Consider the following 19,803-nt stretch of genomic DNA (forward strand, 5'->3'; position numbering starts at 1 on the left):
TCTTGTCTTGGATTTTCCCTTTGCATAGTTAAGAGAAGTCCGTTCTACCCAGTCTTTAGTTGTAATAAGAACGTGGAATACACTGAATTCAGTAGACACTGTAGCACTCAGAGTTGCAAAATAAATTCTACTGCCACTTATTCATGTGTTTACTTTTAAATGTGTGCTCATCTTGGATGCCCCTCTGCACATTCCCAGCAAAGCAACATTAACATTTGTTAAAGATTCATCCCTGCCTCACCTATTCTGCCAAATGCCTAACTAAGATGATGAATTTTGCCAGAGTACCCGTGGACCCGAGCTTTGTAGGCTCAGAGGAGGAAGAGACTCCAAACCAAATGAAGCTTCAAATGAAACACTTGTCCTGCCGACCCCTGGCACGGAACCCCAGAAATCATTAGCAGGAGCGCCCAGGTAGCTGAGATTGCTGGAGAAGAAGGAACAAAAAGGGAATCCTTCACAAAGCTCAAATCTTTAGCACAAAAAAAACTTTGCAGGTTGAAACACAGGCAGTTTGAAAGGGCTGTGTTATTTCTTTCGTATGTGAAATTCAAAACTCCCCCCAAAATATAACCAAACAGTATTTTCTCTGAAAAAGAATCAAATAATTTTCTGCAGTAGTAAATATAAATAAAAATAATAATCCTAAGGTAAAACTGCTCATTTTGCACATTTGGTAAACTTTGAATTCCAACTGTTGCTCAAAAGCAAAGGCATAATGTCTTGGGTGATATTGTGACACTGGTGATTTTAAAGTCAGTTTAATGAAACTGTTAATTTCACCCATCTGGCTTAGCATATGCATTTTTTTCTAGTCAATCTGTAACTAAAAACATGCCTTGTTTATGGAGATTAATGGTTTAATGAAGAAACAAACAAACAAAATAGAAGAAGCAGCCATTTTCCCATTTTCTTTCTTTCAGCGCCCAAAGCTAAGGAACAAAAGCCACCACCACCACTAATTACCCCTTACTATTTTCCATGTAGCCCAGAATCATTTATTTTGCTTTTTTCCCCTTTTTCACAGTAATATCATAAGGTCACCGTTTGTGTGCTCATCTTTAGAAGAGGCAAAAAGCAGAATGTGAGAAGGTAACCACTTGCTAAAGGCCCCGGAGCTGGGACCAGCGTCTGTTCGAGAATTCAGGAGCAGAAAGGCACCTCATTCCCTGTGACAGGAATGTAGACATCAATAGGAAAGTCGTTTTTAGTTTCAAGCTTCTGAAAGGTGTAATGCATCCAAGGTAGAAGTTTGAAAGGGGAAAAAAAGGAAAGGAGAAAATGTCACTTAACTATTAAAAGGAATGATCTACACCAAGTTGACTGGTTTGTAAAAACACAGGGCATTCCTCATTTGCACTCTGACCTGGAGATCCTCATTGGGCTCACAGCCTGCTTTCTTTTTCTTTTTCAAAAAAAGCCTATTTGGGCCATGTGCAGTGGCGCACGCCTGTAATCCCAGCACTTTGGGAGGCCGAGGCGGGCAGATCACGAGGTCAGGAAATCGAGAACACCCTGGCTAACACGGTGAAACCCCTATCTCTACTAAAAATACAAAAAAAAATTAGCAGGGTGTGGTGGCGAGTGCCTGTAGTCCCATCTACTTGGGAGGGTGAGGCAGGAGAATGGCGTGAACCCGGGAGGCAGAGCTTGCAGTGAGCCGAGATCGCGCCACTGCACTCCAGCCTGGGCGACAGAGTGAGACTCTGTCTCAAAAAAAAAAAAAAAAGCCTATTTGTATCTTTCTATGTACTGGGTAAATTTTCTTTTCTTTCTTCTTTTTTATTTTATTTTATTTTATTGAGACAGAATCTTGCTCTGTCGCCCAGACTGCAGTGCAGTGGCATGATCTTGGCTCATTGCAACCTCCACCTCCCAGGTTCAAGCAATTCTCCTGCCTCAGTTCCCGAGTAGCTGGGATTACAGGGATGCACACCGTGCTTGGCTAATTTTTTTTTTTTTTTTGGTAGAGACAGGATTTTGCCATGTTTGCCAGTCTGGTCTCGAACTCCTGGCCTCAAGCAATCCACCCACCTCTGCCTACCAAAGTGCTGGGATTACAGGCTTGAGCCACGGCGCCCAGCCTATTTTATTTTATTTTTTAAATAGAGACAGGGCTTCGCTATGTTACTTAGGCTGGTCTTGAACTCCTGGCCTCAAGTGATCCTCCCGCATTGGCCTCCCAAAAGGCTGGAATTACAGGTATGAGCCTCCGCTCCTGACCCCGTATAAACTTTCTGATTTTACACGTCATTTTTCTCCCTGCCTTCTTCTTTTCCTTCCCTCCTTCCTCCATCTCTCTCTCTCTCCTTTCGGAGCTGTTATTCTCTGAGCAAGAAAAGCATAGCCCATTGTTTGTTTTCTTGGTGTCTCTGTGTATTTTTTTAAAAAAACTATATGTATGCTTTTTTAAAAAAGGTAATAAAGATGATGGTTCTTCAACAAACAGGGAACACAGCTCTTAAAAGGAAACAGTATCCCGATGTTATTATGTAACATAGTTGTATTTCTAACATCTCCACTCTCTGCGTTTTAAGGTCTCCAAATAAACATCGCAATTGTTGGCAAAAATAAAGTCAAAAGCAAGGTAGAGCTTCGCTAGTGCAGCCAGTCACTCCTTGGCGTATTGTGTGGGGACACCTCTGCCCCCACACTCAGCACTCCGGAGCCTGGGGGCAAGAGGCAGGCAGTGGTCCTGAAAGGGGCGCAGATGGTGTCAGCCCAGGGAGCCGAGCCCAACCTTGGACCTGGCCCCATCCCAGAGAACCATTTGTTGGCAGACTTTGGACTTCCTTTAGCCACAGGCACCAACTCCCTTGGTCAGAGGTGCCCAGTGCAGATGAAAGGCAGGAAAGGAATAAATAGGCCTGGCCTTAGGGCAGATGTCCCTGGGGCCATGCTGCCCAGCTCCCCCCTCCCCTCTCTGCCTTCATGTCACCTGTTCAGTGCCTTTGTGTCCTTCCTCATTGCTCCCTGCCACAACCAAGAGCCCGGACTGCCACTGCCATCCCTGCAGCCTCTCACCAGCCCAGTCCTCATCGCATCTCTTCTCTGGATGCCAGAGCCCCATTCAAAGGGTTTTTGAATTCAAACGGCTCAGTTTTGACAGGTAAGGTGTGACAAGAAAGTAAAAGAAGGAAATGGCCAGCACAACTCTTAAATAATGAAAAAACATGCATACTAAAACACCACCGTACTAGCATTAGAAAAAGCCCAAATGCTAATAGGGCAATTTCTACGCTCTGGCAGGAGCCATTTTCCTAGAGAATTGGAGGTTCCCCAGGAAACAACATAGAATTTGACCAATCAGAGTCCCCTCTTCCGGAGTCCTGAACGTGGGGTCTCATGTTGGATGCCACCCCAGAGTCTAGACGGTGGTGAACTACGGGCCACAGCAGCACAAGAGAATCCCTGTGCCAAGCAAGAAAATCAGGATGCAGAGCAGAGGCCCTGGAATGCCCGAGGCAGCAAGGGGACTCGGCCACATCTATATGCGCTGCAGTTGGGCACCCCGAGTAGCCCCGCCATGTTTAATTCAAAGGCGTGCCCGCTCTGGGAGGCGAGGAACGGGTCCTGTTATACATCAGAGAAGAAAACACCAGTGGGAACAGCTGTGTCTTATACCAGGTTAGCGCATCAGCTGTCAACTCTCAATGAGCCTCCCTCCTCTGTACACCCTGGCACTTGGCACAGAGTTGTGTGTGGGCTGGTCCACAATTCTCACTGTGGTCGCCCCAGGGCCTGGCACCATGTGGGATGCACCCAGTACATGGGTCCTGAATTGGGTTTACAGGTACCTCGTGGCTGCTTTACGTCTTGGAACCTGTATATCTCAGCAACTAGATTACAGATCATATGAAAGCAAGAACTATGACGGCTACATTTCTGGGATTCTTTTGTAAATGAGTGTGCACAGACCTGAGCAGGATTCTGGTCTACTGCTGTTGACAGCGGAAAGCTGGCAAACAGCGTCCTGGTAGACCTGAGAAACAGAACGATGTTTTACAGAAGTGTCTACCGAGAAAGAGCAGCCGCTCCTCAGAGGAAACAGGCTGAGGGAGAGTGGGAGAAATGAGGGAAATGTGGAAGGAAGCAGAGTAAGTCCATAGAACTCTTAGCAGTCTGGATTGGAGCTGCAGCTTGGCTAGCGCAAACCTTGAACTTGGGTCTCCTGGAAGTCAAATTCCTCATTCCTTCAGTGATTCATTTACCCAACAAAGATGTTTTGAGTACTAACAGTGAGATCACTTATTCATTTGGGCTGCCGCCATTCAGTTGCTAAACAAATATTTATTGAGGCAAGAGTCTTAAAAAACAAACAAACAAAAAACAACAAAAAAAGCAAAACCCTAGATACTGTTCCTATCTTTGAGGAGTTTTCTTTTCCTGTTTTTTTTTTTTTTTTTTGTTGTTGTTGTTGTTAGTAGCCATCCTCATGGCTGTGAGGTATAATTTATTTTTGTGCAGTAATTTATATATTGGAGAAAGTCTGGTTTAACCGGAATTTAAAATGCAATGCTTTTATAAAGTGACATAATGTCTACGACAGAACTTAGTGAATAGAAAGATAACATATGGACCCGGAGGATAGGTTCGCCTGAATAGAGCTCATCTTACTCTGCCTTGAGTTACACCATTCGATCCTACATGTGTCTCCGTCGCTCACTCCGTGGCAAGCTTGTTAAGGCTGGTGTAAGAAGTGGAAGGATCCAACTTATACTTTGAATTCTAGACAGTGCCTGCAACAGTGCTAGGCATATGTTAGCTGCCTATGCCATATGTTAGTGAAGTGATCCTTCTTCTATATGACCACACATGGCGTGTTTGTGCCCCATACTCACCAAAGAACATACCTCATCCACCCACACTCCTCAGTTTGCCTGCCTGGCAAACAGCTGTTATGTTCCCACTCAGATACCTCTCCTCACGTCATCTCTCCTGTCTCCCCAGGCAGATGGCTCTTCTCTGATGCCCCCCTTGCCACAGTGTAGGCATCCCCTTTACCAGAACTACCATCCTGCATAATGACTGTCGACTTTCCTGATTTCACAGTAGAGCTTGGATGTCCTCAAAGACAGGGTTGGGCACAGGGGCTCACACCTGAAATCCTAGCACTTTGGGAGGCTGAGGCAGGGAGATCAACTGAGGTCAGGAGTTTGAGACCAGCCTGGCCAACATGGCGAAACCCTGTCTCTACTAAAAATTAGCCAGGTGTGGCTGCAGGCATCTGTAATCCTAGTTACTCAGGAGGCTGAGGCAAGAGAATAGCTTGAACCCGGGAGGCAGAGGTTGCAGTAAGCCAAGATCATGCCACTGCACTCTAGCTTGGGCAACAAGAGTGAAACTCTGTCTCAGAAAAAAAAAAAAAAAAGGGTAGGTGCAGTGGCTCATGCCTATAATCCCAGCACTTTGGGAGGCTGAGGCAGGTGGATCACTTAAGGTCAGGAGTTCAAGACCAGCCTGGCCAACATGGCAAAACCCCATCTCTACTAAAAATACAAAAATTAGCTGGGTGTGGTGGCGTGCGCCTGTAATCCCAGCTACTCAGGAGGCTGAGGCAGGAGAATCGCTTGAACCCAGGAGGCAGAAATTGTAGTGAGCCGAGATCTGCCACTGCACTCCAGCCTGGGCGACAGAGCCAGATTCTGTCTCAAAAAAACATACAAACAAACAAAACAGGAAATAACAAGTGTTTCTGAGGATGTGGAGAAATTGGAACCCTTGTGCACCGTTGGAGGGAATATAAAGGGTCCAGCTGCTGTGGAAGACAGCATGGAGGTTTCTCAAAAAATTAAATGTAGAATTACTATATGACCCAGAAATTCTGCTTCTGGATACTGTATATATCTAACAAAAAATGAAAGCATGGTTCTAAAGAGATATTTTTAGGCCTATATTCTAAGCAAAGTTATTCACAATAGTCAAGGGGTGGAAGCAACTCAAGTGTCCATCGATGGATGAATGGATAAATAAAGTGTGGTATAAACATGTCATGAAATACCATTCAGCCTTAAAATGAAAGGAAATTCTAACACACACTGCAACAGAGGTGAACCTTGAGGACATTATGCTAAGTGAAATAAGCCAGTCACCAAAAGACAAATACTGTGTAAAATACCAAGTGGTATTAGATATGAGGTATCTAAAGCAGTCAAACTCATCGAAATAAAAAGCAGGATGACGGCTCCCAGGGTTTGGGATGGGGGCAATGGGGAGACGTTTACTGAGTATGGATTTTCAGTTTTGCAAGAAAAAAGTCGTGGAGCTCTGTGGCACAATGTGAATATCCTTAGCACTGCTGAACTGTGTACACCTAAAACTGGTTCAGATGGCAAATTTTGTTATGTGTATATTAGCAAGAATAAGAATTTTAAAAAGATAAATCACAGCCCTTAAAGAGGAAAAGTGTAAATATTTGGCAAGTCTCTTTTGTAATAGAATAATACGGTTATTCTGGGAACAACTCAAAGGTGCTGACCTCACTGGACGGGAATGTGGAGGACACTCTTTTCCACTTCCCACTGGCTGTTAATGAAGCCAAAGCCTCCTCACTCTCTACCCCCTGCAATGTTCTCATCTCTGCTTTGAAGTGTGTTGTTGGCTGAGATAGTGAGCAGATGATCCACCTAAAATCACACAGTGTGGGGGAAAGAAACGCTTTCAGGTCTGAAACGTGCATATGTAGCGGCCTGGAAGTGGAGTGCTGGCTGTGTCTATGAAGAAAAGCTGCTGGCAGGGAAGAAGATGACTCTCAGACAGAACCAGAAATTACAGCCCATTTTCTCTTGCACCATGGTGTCATCTTATTTGTTAAAAATTCCAGAAAAAAAAAATCCACAAATTAATGCCCTTTGGGGAAACTATGGAAGCTGATGTTTTCTTTTACATTAGCCTAAATGACTCTCATTCAAAACACAGCCCCATTTTGATTCTATCCTGGCTCGTAGGGGGCACTCAGTCAATGCTTGTTCAGTAAATGAATGAATGAAAGGTTGTGAGTGACTTCAGAACACACCCACTCAGTTAAATTCCTTATCTTTGTTACCACGCCTATTCAGTGCCTACAATAAGAATTCCAAGCATCAAACATCTCATGCTTGAATCCATTCTTATAGCTTATCTCAGATATGAAAAATGTAATACAATGAGGATGTTCTAATAAAGTCTATTAATCAACAGGACAGGACAGGTCAGGGCAGCAGCAGAAAATAGAATGCAAACACAGTTCCTGTTAACTAGAGTCATCTGAAGCCCGCCGGAGCCAGCTAGGGCCAGACGCTGTGGGCAGGAAGAACTTGGAACGAAGGGTATTTGAGGAACTGGGAACGGCGATAGCGTCACACTCGTCTTACTACGGTTCTTTTTATAGGAGATCAGAGTAAAGACGTGTTGGAAATATAAACTCATTTTTTTTTACCCTCAATTTACAAAATCAAGGTTTTTTTTTTTCTCAGCCTTGTTAGGAAGCTGGGTGCAACATAAGACACCAGTCTTTCTCCCAGGGTTGCTGGAAGATGTTATGATAGCCCCAAGCAAGGGCACTGTGCCAGGTAGAGAGATGACCTTAAGGAGTGTATGCCCCACCTCTGCAGAAGGCTCCCCAGTCCTTCCAATGTGACCTAGAGAAAGAGGTGCTGAAGGCAAATGGGGCCCAGGGCTTGGTTCTAGAAATTCACCTAAACTTCGGTTCTCCCTCCCTGCCATCTCCTAGGCCAGGGAAAGGCAGGGAGAAGAGGAAGGCAGCTGGCCATGTGCCTCTGGAAGCAGAGGCTGTGGTGGCCGGGGAGGCTGGCAGGTATGGTCCCTCGGGGGAAGCTCCTTGGTGCTGTTCTAATTTGGCACCAGAAGACCCCAATGGCAGGTTAGTCATGAACGGTGGGTCCTAAAGTGGCAAATCCAGCTTTGGGTCCCCCTCTCTCCCCACTGATGGGGGCCCCAGAAGTCTAACGGAGGTCAGCAGAACAGGCTCACTGTGCGGGAATCTAGCGGTTCTGCAGCGCCCATACCCAGGGAGTCTTAAGGTAAGGGGACTTATGATTGGGGTTTTTAATTAGATTTCATTGCCAGGCCTCCATGGAAAACAAATCATTCTAAATTCTTATAAACAGAATTTTGAGCTGCAACAATAACATGAAAACATTCTCATAGACAGTATTTACTTAAAAAAGAATGTTTTGTGGAAAGGATGCACTCCTGTTCCCAATCAGCACAACTATTTTTAAGTAGGATCAGAACTCTTGTAAAGACAATTTTGGTGTGGATGTGGTCTTAGTCCATTTAGCCTAAACTGTCCAACATGCGTCTCCCTCTCCTGTTTGCGGGTCTTGGGGCATGGGGCTTCGTCACCTCCAGACAACCATCCAACGGAAACCTGGAATTATCTCTGCCCAGTAATAAGAGCAATAACATTGACATAGCAGTGGTTCTCAGCTGGGGGTGATTTGGCCTCCCTGGGGACTTGGGAGCATTTGGCAATACCAGGAAATATTTTTGGAGAGGAGGGATATTGGGGGGGGTGCTTTTGGTATCTAGTTGTGGAGTCCAGAAATGCAGCTAAACATCCCGTAACACACAGGACAGCCCCCAACAAAAAAAAATTCTACAGTCCAAAATGTCAATATTGTGAGATTGAGAAACCCTGCTTATGTAGGGCTTACCATGTGCTGATACTGTTCTAAGTATATTGTATATATATGAAATACTTATATAATAATCTATATTATATACTTATATATTATATATTTATATATTATATATTATATGATATATTACATAATATAATATACATATATTATATATGTATATTATATATACATACACACATATGCACACACATATACATACACATATATACCTATATATACATATACATATATAGATCAATTTATTGAACCCAATACTAGAAGACAGATACTATTATCATCCCCATTTTGCAGATGAGGAAACTAAGGCTCAGAGAAATTAAGTAACTTGCCCAAATCACACAGCTAGTGAGTGTTAAAATTGGACCCAGGCCAGCTGGCTCCAGAGGCTACGCCACTCATTACACAACATGACGCAGCCTCCTGCCTACTTGTCCTTTGTGCCCACATCCAAGCAGCCATGGAGTCCCTCAGAGCCCATCTCTACATCCTTCAGCTCTGTTCCTGTCACCATGTCCCACTCAGGCCTGCATCCACTCCTCAAGGGACCATGGCAATATATTCCCTTCTTCCAGCTCCACCCGCTTCTAATTCACCTCCCTGCCATTCACTGCCACCAGAGTGACCTCAAAATCCCAGATCTCACTATGTCTCTTCTTCTTGCTTGAAACCCTTCAGCAGGTCCCTGTCACCTGAAAGGTAAAGCCCAAACTTCAGGATGGTGTCTGAGCTCTCGTTGGAACAATCACTTTGCAGGGCTTCTCCTGCCTCCCCATTGTCACAGCACCATCATGCGACATGCTGTGCTGTTACCACCTCTCAGGGTCTGCTCTGCCTGCAATTCCCACCTCCAACTCTCTTATCTGGCAAACACCTGTTGGCCTTTCAAGAATCAGTCCCAGTGTCTCCTCTTCCAGGAAGCCTTCCCAGAACACCTCAGCCCTCCAGGTAGAACTGACCACTCCCTTCTTTGTGTCTCCACCATTAGCTTCTATATCTTTAATAAAATCCATTACTATTTTTCTTTGCTTTCAAGTCCATTCCTCAAGGACAGAAGCATTGTGTTACTTCACATATCTCTGAAGTCTAGCCAAGCAACTGAGTAGTCACTGAGTAAGCATCAGAAGAATGAATGATAAAATATCCTATATGACTTGAATTCTTTGCAGGATGGTCACTATTTGCAAAGGAAATCTATGCTGTTAGACACTGCCATTCTTAGGCGGTGGGTACAATGTAAGACACCAATCTTACATGAGGCAGAAGTCAGTTTCTGCATCGCCTCAACTCAGGATCTGGTTCTATGCCCAGGACTACGTGGAGTTGCCTCCCACCACTAAGACAGTTGGCAACTCCCTGCTAGGATCCTCTTCACCAGACCGAACATCTCCAGCTGCCTTTCCTCTTCCTAACAGGCATAGTTTTAAGATCCCTCACGTCCCTAGAATATGCACTGAATTACTAAGCAAACCCAAATTGCACTGGGCCTACAGAGAAGCTGGTGGCATCTGGGAAGTTTATGCAGATTCCTGAGATGATGCTTAAAGTGTACTTCAAATCGGAGGTCCCACGTTCAAGTGTCTGTGGGCTCAGACGGGTCAGATCCATGAATGAAGTAAGCAGGAGATGATGAAACAGACAGGAGGGGCTGTGGGTGGACAAAGTATGCCTGGTCTCAGCCTCACCTCCACAATTGCTGCCACATAGGAGAAAGGCCCAGTCTTGCCAGATCTTTGTTTTTTTCTTCTTTTTTTTTAAAAAGCTAGAAATTTGCATTTTCATACAAGCTTTTTAGATAACTGATTTTTTTTAAAACATATACAACAAGGTATTTTCCAAATCAACTGCATCTGGGGCTGGCTCTGGCTGCGGCCTATCCATTTGCCGCCTTGGCTTTCAATAAAGAATTGCTTGAGCGATTCCTAAATTTAAGTTTTTGCATTTAGTGTTGGAAGTGTGCACAGATATATCGAGAGTTGTGGACATACAAAGGCAGAATTTAAATCTGAAATTAAACTAAAACACTAGGGTTAAAAATAACTTTAAGGCATAAATCACCAAAGAGGGTGAGTGAAACAGAGAAAAACAAGGAGCCTTTCTAACCAGCGCCTAAAGCCGAGGCAAAGACTCAATTACCGGTCAGCAGATCCATCTCCAGCAATGCCTGGAACAAGCTGGGGTGTTTGTCTTTCAGCTCCTTCTCCCAGGGGAAGGCTCTGCACATCGAGGGTCTCCCATACCTGCGCTGGAGGTCCAGGTAGGAGTTGTGGAGGTGGCCTACACAGAAGAGGGAGCAGAAGATATCACACCCTTTAGCAGAAGATAAGACTCACCTCCCTAAAGCCCTTCTTCCTAACAGGAACTAGAAAGACTTGCCATTACTGGATGTTGGTTTTGGTCCTTTTGGGATTTGAAATTGGCTATGATGCTTTTGCCTCCAGGTCACAAATTCAGAGCCAAGTCCATGAGAAATGTGCCAAAGTTGCTGATGGCTGTTGAATAATTCTACAGAATGAGCAGCTGGCCTCTGACCGGTCCCCAGGAGGCCAATATCTAGGCCATTTTTTGGCATGTGAGTTGAGGAGCAAAGCACAAAGACCCTCAGGGAGGCAAAGCAGTTCAAGATGATAGGAAAATCTTCCTAATGCCACCAAACAGATGGGTGTGCATGCCTGGCCTTCTATCTCAGGGTATGTCTCCTGAGAGTACATAAGTTACCAAAGTCAGTTTCTTTCCTCTTTGGGTTATTACTATTCCTATATATCTTCCCCCTCCTGTTGACAGCATCATATTTTCCGGATGATTCAGCAGTGAGAGCAGCAGCTGGGGACCAGTATAGCCTATTCTTAAATTGAATTGCAGAAGCACTATCTTTCCACACTCACCTGTCACCATCTGTAATCACTACCTGGGACCATTTCATGTGAACCCTATTGGACTGGGGCATGTTTGAGATGCATCCCTCCCTCCACGACCTGGAATGAGAAGTTCCGCTCTGGAGATAGAGACATATGGGCAGGACTGAAATACTCAATTCGCTTTTGCTGATGGCAAAGGTCCCACAGGAATTTCTCTTCCAGAAGGAACATATGTGAGTAACTCTAGTGCCACCATATCAAACAGCAAGATCCACAGCACAGAGAAATGTGTAAGTGCTAGATCCAAGCTGGAACACTGGCGAACCAGACAGGACCAAGTTTTGTAACTGATAAACACCCTGTGTGAGTAAAAGGATGTCTGTGCAAATATGAGCATGCATGAAAGCAGTCTATTTGAAATTCATTCCTTCTGTTAAAAATTACCGATGTCTTCGAGAATGAGTCAATTTCAAGGATTTAAAAAATAAAACCAAGCTCCAAACAACAAAGTCACCATTCAACATTTCTGAAAGCTAATATTCAGATATCAATGGCCCAAAACAAAAGTGCACTGATGGGGAAACATTTCTAATGATTAATTTATTTTCCAGTTCATTTTTATTTTCTTAGGCTGGCCTTATGGTTGGGAATAACGCCATGCGAAGGCACAAAACACTCGCTTTCATTTGTACTTGTAAACTAGATTTTTATGGTTGGAGCTATAAGATGTTTTGGTTCTTCTTGGCTGTCATTGGTCTTGGTAGAATCCAGGTGGAATGTACAATTTCACCTGTATCCACCAGTGGAGGGCTCAAGGTCACACTTGTCCCATCTGGTATCTGAGCCAAGTCATATATGTTTAATTTTAATCCTGTTATGGAGAAGCCAAACATGTGTTTATGTAAATGCACAGAGCTTAAAACAGCTCCCCTGAAGCTCAACACTTACATGCTTCTTGTCTCTCGCCCCCGTGCTTTGCTGCAGATGCATACACAGATACTATTTCTTGAACCTCAGCACACCTTTCATAATATAACTTGATTTGTTCAGCAAGTTGCTTCTCAAGGAGGGGATTAAAAATCTACAAGAAGGCAAGAAAGTCAAATGAACAACAATTGTCATCAAATATCCATCCACCTCTAGGAGGATGTGTTTGGGTTGACTTTGTTCTCCCATTGACATCTCCAGGTGGCTCGTTTGTACACATATCATCCACTCTGGATTTGCAAAGCAAGGTCATTGGTACTAATTCAAGGACATGCCAGCTCTGATGGCTTCCCTTCAGCTTCTCTTTGTGTCCAGCTTCTTAAATGTCAGAATTTCCCAGAGACTGGGACTCTTCCCTCTTCTTTTCTCTGGCTGCACTCTGTCCCTAGAAAATCACACTCACCTCCCCCTTCAATTCCCACGAAAAGATGCAAGGGTACCCACGACGTGCCTGCTGCATCAAAGAGAGCCCTCCTCCCCTCTTCTGCAACCTCCAAGAGCTGGCTGCAAGGCCATGGCTTCAGGACAGGCCCCCCTAGTGGCTCACCCCATCTCACTTACGGGCCGATGTATCCGTTCCTGCCTCAGCACTCCCAAACACATCTGAATTAAAGCATGTACTGTATTCTTTCATGAATTCCCTGTTTAAGATCCCGAAAGGGAGCGCCTCAGGAACAAGGGACTTAGCTCAGTGTGCTTCAAAATAGAGGCTGGGACCCATTAGAGGGTCACACAGTTATTTCAGTGGGTGGGAACCTCCAGAGTTTTGGTGGTGTTTTTTGTTTCTATAAAGTAGAACACAAAATATCAGCGTGCACTGAATATAGCAAGGGTATGTATTCTTAGAATAATTTTGTTTCCATTTTATGTGTGAATATATGTATGCATATGTATATGTACTGTTCATGATATTAAACACATTTCTTTCTTTCTTTTTTTAATTTTTTTTATTTGAGACAGTCCTGCTCTTGTCACCCAGGCTGCAGTGCAGTCGCACAATCTTGGCTCACTGCAACCTCTGCCTCCTGGGTTCAAGTGAGCACGTCCAGCTAATTTTTGTATTTTTAGTAGACACGGGGTTTCACCTTGTTGGCTGGTCTCAAACTCCTGACTTCAAGTGATCCGCCTGCCTCGGCCTCCCAAAGCGCTGGGATTACAGGTGTGAGCCACCACGCTTGGCTGATATTAAGCAGATTTCTTATTGTGGACAACCTTCAAAACAATTTTAAACCTATCCATCTTGCTTGTCTCAACACCTAGTTCAAAGCCTGGCATACAGTAGGTTCTCAATAAGCATTTGTTGCACAAATGACTATTTCATTTTTTTCCCTTTTCACAAAAGTGTCTCACAGAGGCTGTAAGATATCACCCATGGGCAGCAGGACTCCCCATTTTTCCTGATTATGACTTTGCCTAGTGACCCCTGTTTTTCTCAGAATAAACCCCACAGGGTGAAGGGAATGACAGAATGTTTCTCTTTCAGGTATCAGGTGGGGTTCTTGATCTCCTTAAAGCAGCCCAGAAAACAAGTGCCCTGAAGGCTCCCTCATAGGGAAATAGCCCTCTCCCCCGACCAGTCCAGCTGTGTTGGCTGGAAGCGTTGGACAGTTCCATTCGGGGGCGGGTTATGGATGTGGAAGGCACTGTGCAGAGGATTCAGCCCTGAACACAATGCCCTTTTCGATCCATACAACTGCTGCCAACCGACCCCAGCGTGAGCTGAAGGCCTGTGTTTCTGAAGAGAGCAGCCAATGGAACCAAGATTTTAATTTGCTACAGTATCTCTTCTGATACTTTAAATAATATTATATAAAAGAAGGTTTACCAAATAACTAAGATTCTCTCCTTTCATTAGCTTAATCGCTGGATAGGCAACAGCCTGATGAAAATCTACTCTATAATTAAACTAGTAGTTATTAAAACAGAGGAAGTCAATGGTTTCCATTTTATGAGTACTAAATGAACCAAATGTTAACAGAAATTTTTATTGCATTTGCTGGGGGAAAAGCCTCAATATTAATGATGTCTGATGACAGAGGCGATGCATGGTCTGGCTTGGGTAAACTTTTATTTACACTGGGTGGCACACCCCTGAGGCCCACACCCATCACCCAGGAGTACCGCAATCTTCCTGATCCCCTGGACTCACCTGGGCGGGGTGCAGACTGCGAAGGCGATAGTACTTCAGGGGTCCAAAAAACCCTTCAATGCCAGCCACATACCTGCTCCCTCCAATAATGAAGTACCCAGCTGTGTCATTATAATGGAAATCCTCCCGGAAGCTAGAGAAGAGAATGAAGGATTAAGAGAGCTCCATGCCGGAACTAGATGATTTAAAAACAGTCTCTTTCCTAGACCCTCCTTGACTTAACCCAAATTGCCCCAAGCCCTTCACTCTGAGTTTTAGCAGATGAGACCAGCGTAGGGTCAGGTGGACTTCGGCTAGGATCCCAATTCTGCTGTTTACCAGCTATGAGACCTCAGCCCAGTCACTTAACCTCCTCTCCAGTGCTGTCTTCTCCTGTGTCAAATGATAGTTCTCCACTTACTGGATGGTTAAGAGGATTACGTGAAGTGTAAAGATGTCAAGCATCTAGCAGAGTGCTTGGCCCACAGTAAATAGTCAATATGTGGTATTGATAGTGGTGGTATTGTTCAGAATCAATGGAATTGTCTGGAATTGTTGGTTTTCATTGGAAATATTTTGCTTTAAAAGAAAATAACAAACCTTGTTGAATGAATAGAAGGTGGCTGTGGGGGAAAGCCAAAAGCGTAGACTATTAGATAAGGACTGAGGCAAAATTCAGTTAGGAGGAGGAGGAGGCCACAGCCAGGTCAGAGGGTTTGGCCGGAGATGAGAGGTGAGCACAGGTGATGAGTTGGAGGACCACACTGTCCTGAAGGGCTTGAAACATCAGGAAGGAAAGGGAGGACAAAGTGGGTTGGCATTTATAGAATGCATGAAGGTGTTCCTTGCAACATTGTTTATATTCGCCAAAGATGGGAGAACCCCGGTGTCTGTCAGCGGGGACTGGCCCATCAATTTAGTGTACCTTGAGCTTTTTCACTATGCAACTAAAAAAGGGACAAAGGAACCTGGAGGGATCTCCAAAATATAGTGTTAAGTAAAAAAAATAAAAGTACAGGACACAGAGCATACCTTTTATCTAAGAAAGAGGCTAACAGATTTTTTTCATATTTGCATAAAGAAACTCTGGGCCAAAGTGTATACAAGAAACCAATAGAATTATCTCCCCATGGGGTGGTGGGGGGTTGGGATGAAGTGCATGAGGGTAGGCTTGGGAGCAAGATATTTAACTGTATTTTTACAAAGTTTTGATTTTTTAAAACCATGTGCATCTATTACCTATTAAGAATTTAAAATAATGCTGGGCATGGTGGCTCACGCCTGTAATCCCAGCACTTTGGGAGGCCAAGGTGGGCAGATCACCTGAGGTCAGGAGTTCAAGACCAGCCTGGCCAACATGGTGAAGCCCATCTCTACTAAAAATATAAAAATTAGCCAGGTGTGGTGGTGCGTGCCTGTAATCCAGCTACTCAGGGGGCTAATACAGGAGAATTGCTCAAACCTGGGAGGCAGAGGTTGCAGTGAGCTGAGATTGCGCCACTGCACTCCAACCTGGGTGACAAGAGCGAGACTCCATGTCAAAATAATAATAACAAAAATAAATAAATAAAATAAAAATAACAAGAATTTAAAATAAGAATGGGAGGATTCTTATTTTAAAGAATAGATCACAGCATATGTGTGATCAGAGCATATGTGAACAGTGAGGGGAGTGAGGGCTAAGACAGGTATCAAGTGAGAGGTCAGGCAATAAGATGGAGCCAGGAACCACAAGGGGCAGATGGAAGCAGAGGGAAAGAAAACAAAGTGTCAGGCAGGCTGCCAGGAGCCCAGGGAGCCGAAGGAGCAAAGGGCCGGAGTGACGATGGATGGGGACAGGGCAAGCTACCCACAGTTGGATCAGGGAAACCAGGCAACCCAGGGTTATTTCAGAACGAGGGATGGACTGTCTGTTAGCAAACAACCCAAGCCCTAGCAGGTGCACCTGGCCAGGGAGGAGGCATGAGACAATGAAGCAAAGCACACAGCCTGGCAGCAACAGCTGACAGCAGCAACATCGAACGTCTAGAGATTAGTCTCGTCTAAACACAACCAAAATGGAAAAGAAGTGCTTCAGCTCCTGATATTTTTCTTTTCAGAATCTCAGTCTTGTAGGACTGTGAAGATGATGGTCTCTCCTGCCTATTTAAGGAGAGGCCATAAAGTTATTATCTCTGAGAGTTGCGAACTGAGTCTGTTTTCCAAGACCTTGAAAAGACATGAACATTCCAACAACCCTCATGAGACAGCACGGGGCACTAGATGGATACAAAGCAACACTTCTGCAGTAGGAAGCCCTCTTAACGGAGCTGCAGCTGAACCAACTCCCCAGCTTACCTGACTGTCCTCATGCAAAACCGACTGACTGATGCTTACAGCATCCGGGATGCTCACCGCCTCACTGCCTAGAGCTTACTGTCTAGAGCCTTAGTCTCCCCATTTAAAAAACGGAAATAGTAATAGTACCTGCCTGTATGGTTGTTATGAAGATGAAATAAACTAATATGTAAACAAAGCATTTCAAACAGTGTCAGGCACAGAGCAGACACCATAACCATCAGCAACAGTGATTATCATCCTTAACCTAGCCCTCTGTTGGACTTTGGCTCCCACATCTTGAGTTTCATGCTTAGCAAGAATAAGATGTGCATACTCTCAAGCCAGTTAATGTTGGCCTGGTGCAGTGGCTCATGCCTATAATCTCAGCACTTTGGAAGGCCGAGGTGGGGGGATCACTTGAGCCCAAACAGTTAATATCAGTAGTATATTTATTGTAATCATACCATTTACTTACATATGTAATTCAATAAAACATGAGTGGGGAAGAAAGAGCTCTTCTTTCTATAAAAACTAAGTTGATTATTTTGGGTAGACGCAATAGAGCTTACTAAAAAATTGTAAAATGTCATGGGAAAAAATTGAGAAAAATCTAGATGGCTTTTGGGCTCTGATTATTTTCACAAGTATCTTTGCTTTCATTTGGAAGAAACAGAAATTGGGTGTTGTTTACAAGTGTGAAAAAAGCCCACAGCAAACGCTAATCTGCAGATTTGTACTCAAAAGAAGGCCCTCTCTAGAAAGATTGGCAAATGAATATATACATATATATGTTTTAATTGAAATAAAATGTTTAAGGGAGTTATCTGTTTTAGTGGATCCTTGCATTAACTGAGTTTTTCAACAAAAAACAAATTACTTGGTCCCTAGGGCACTGAATCGTAATTTTTAAATTGTCATTATTATCAAGCAATAGGATATATGTCCAGCTTGGTCTCCATGTACATTGATGTCTTCATATTTTTCTCCCGCAAAATTCTCAGTGTCTGCACAAAGATTGCAAGAGATTCCTTGTACTGTGCACTGTTTGATGGTCATCAATTTCACTGACATAAAAGCTGAGCTAGACTCTTCCAAAGCCCAAGCCAGCCCCTTTTGAAAACCCGAGACATGCTGGCAAACTATCTTTACTCTTATCTGGACATAGGAGAGTGCCCTGGTTTATTACCGCAGAGCACCAGAAGCCTGAAAGAATCACCGACGTTGTGAAACAGGCCTCTCTCAGAATTAAGAAATAGCTCCAGCTTGAAGTTTCTGTGGTATGAGAACTTAGAGCTTCAAATTGGCTGCCCCCATGTCCCACAGAGTAACCATCATCTTACAAGTCACTTCTTCAGGGCCTGGTCTAAATTCTATTTTTTTTTTTTTTTTTTTTTTTTTTGGAGACAGAGTCTTGCTCTGTTGCCAGGCTGGAGTGCAGTGGCGCAATCTCAGCTCACTGCAACCTCTGCCTCCTGGGTTCAAGCGATTCTCCTGCCTCAGCCTCCCGAGTAGCTGGGAATACAGGCATGCGCCACCACGCCCAGCTAATTTTTGTATTTTTAGTAGAGATGGGGTTTCACCATGTTGGCCAGATGGTCTCCATCTCTTGACCTCATGATCCGCCTGCTTCGGCCTCCCAAAGTGCTGGGATTACAGGCATAAGCCACCACGCCCGGCCGGCCTGGTCTAAATTCTGACCCCCTTGTTCTCCTCAAGCTACCTTATCCATTTCTTTCCTAGCACTCACCACGATTTGTAATTTTAAATTTATTTGTGAATTTGTTTTCTGTTTGTCTCCCCATCTCAATATTTTAGCTCCATGAAGGCAGAGTCTGTATTCTTTGTGTTCATCATTTTATTTCCAGAGTTGAGTGCTGTGTCTGGCATGTGACAGGTGCTCAGTAAACAGGTGTTGAATAAATGAATGAATTTAACGCTATAGAGGCCTGAAGCTGTCACCTGTCATGGGATATTATTGACAGCCTTTCATTTATGCGTTGCACTGCAATCCCGAGCACTTAATTCCTGATCTTCTCACACTATCCTTGTAGGACAACAGTCATTATGTTTACGTTACAGGAACAAATAAAAAGGAGGGGTAAGAGCCTTGCCTGGGAACACCTATAACCAGTAAACTGGAAATATCTGATGTTTAGTTCACTGACTTGGCCCACTCTAAAAGTGGGGTTCCTGGCAGGGATGAGATTCCAAATACCTGACTACAGGAACCCCCGGGGGACTCTGGACAGCTCCCTCTGGGACTAGCTTTACCTCTGCTTATTTCTCTGATGGGGAGGTCTCAGGAGTACAGGCAGGGCAGCTGGGGTGGTGGGGAGGGGCACTCCTGCGTCTGAGTACGGCTAGCTTTTTTGGTTTGTTTTGTTTTTTGTTTTGTTTTGTTGTTTGTTTGTTTTGTGGCAGGGTCTCGCTCTGTCGCCCCGGCTGGAGTACAGTGGCACAATCTTGGCTCTCTGCAACCTTCACCTCAGCCTCCCGAGTAGCTGGGATTACAGGTGCCCACCACCATGCCCGGCTAATTTTTGTATTTTTAGTAGAGTTGGGGTTTCACCATGTTGCCCAGCCTGGTCTCAAACTCCTGGACTTAAGTGATCTGCCTGCCTCAGCCTCCCAAAGTGCTGGGATTACAGGCGTGAGCCACTGTGCCAGGCCAGAGTACTGCCACTTTTACTAAGAAATTGTTTCAATGCTTCAATTGGGATGTAGAGTTGGTGTGTGCCCCCAAATCAGTCTTGATCCCTTGATCCTTCTATGTTTACACTGATTATGTCTTTACTTAAAATTTTAATATTTTGTTCATCATAGATTCTCTGCATTCATTTTGATTTTTAAAAACATCATATTAATATGT

General features: G+C 44.3%; 1 protein-coding gene across 9 annotated transcripts in view, besides 1 other annotated feature; it reads right to left on the reverse strand.

Moving 5' to 3' along the window:
- Positions 1–19,803, reverse strand: part of SEL1L3 (SEL1L family member 3) — a 149,603-nt gene that overhangs the window by 93,396 nt on the left and 36,404 nt on the right. For all 9 annotated transcript variants that reach the window (XR_007096387.1, XR_007096388.1, XR_001741182.3 and 6 more), the window contains exons 7-9: positions 14,637–14,769; positions 12,449–12,581; positions 10,779–10,919 (exon numbers count right to left, since the gene is read on the reverse strand). Coding sequence is in view for 5 of the 9 variants with exons in the window: in NM_001297592.2 (NP_001284521.1) it covers positions 10,779–10,919; positions 12,449–12,581; positions 14,637–14,769 (407 nt within the window). In the remaining 4 variants the exon portion in view is untranslated. The remainder of the gene's footprint in view (positions 1–10,778; positions 10,920–12,448; positions 12,582–14,636; positions 14,770–19,803) is intronic.
- Positions 3,369–3,933: an enhancer, noted in NCBI's record as "H3K4me1 hESC enhancer chr4:25812350-25812914 (GRCh37/hg19 assembly coordinates)". NCBI's record gives its function as "activates a minimal SCP1, AML or CMV promoter by ChIP-STARR-seq in primed H9 embryonic stem cells {active_cell/tissue: H9 hESC(primed)}" and the evidence as "EXISTENCE:reporter gene assay evidence [ECO:0000049][PMID:30033119]".

The sequence above is a fragment of the Homo sapiens genome, chromosome 4, assembly GCF_000001405.40.
Source record: "Homo sapiens chromosome 4, GRCh38.p14 Primary Assembly".
NCBI classification, from domain to species: domain Eukaryota; kingdom Metazoa; phylum Chordata; class Mammalia; order Primates; family Hominidae; genus Homo; species Homo sapiens.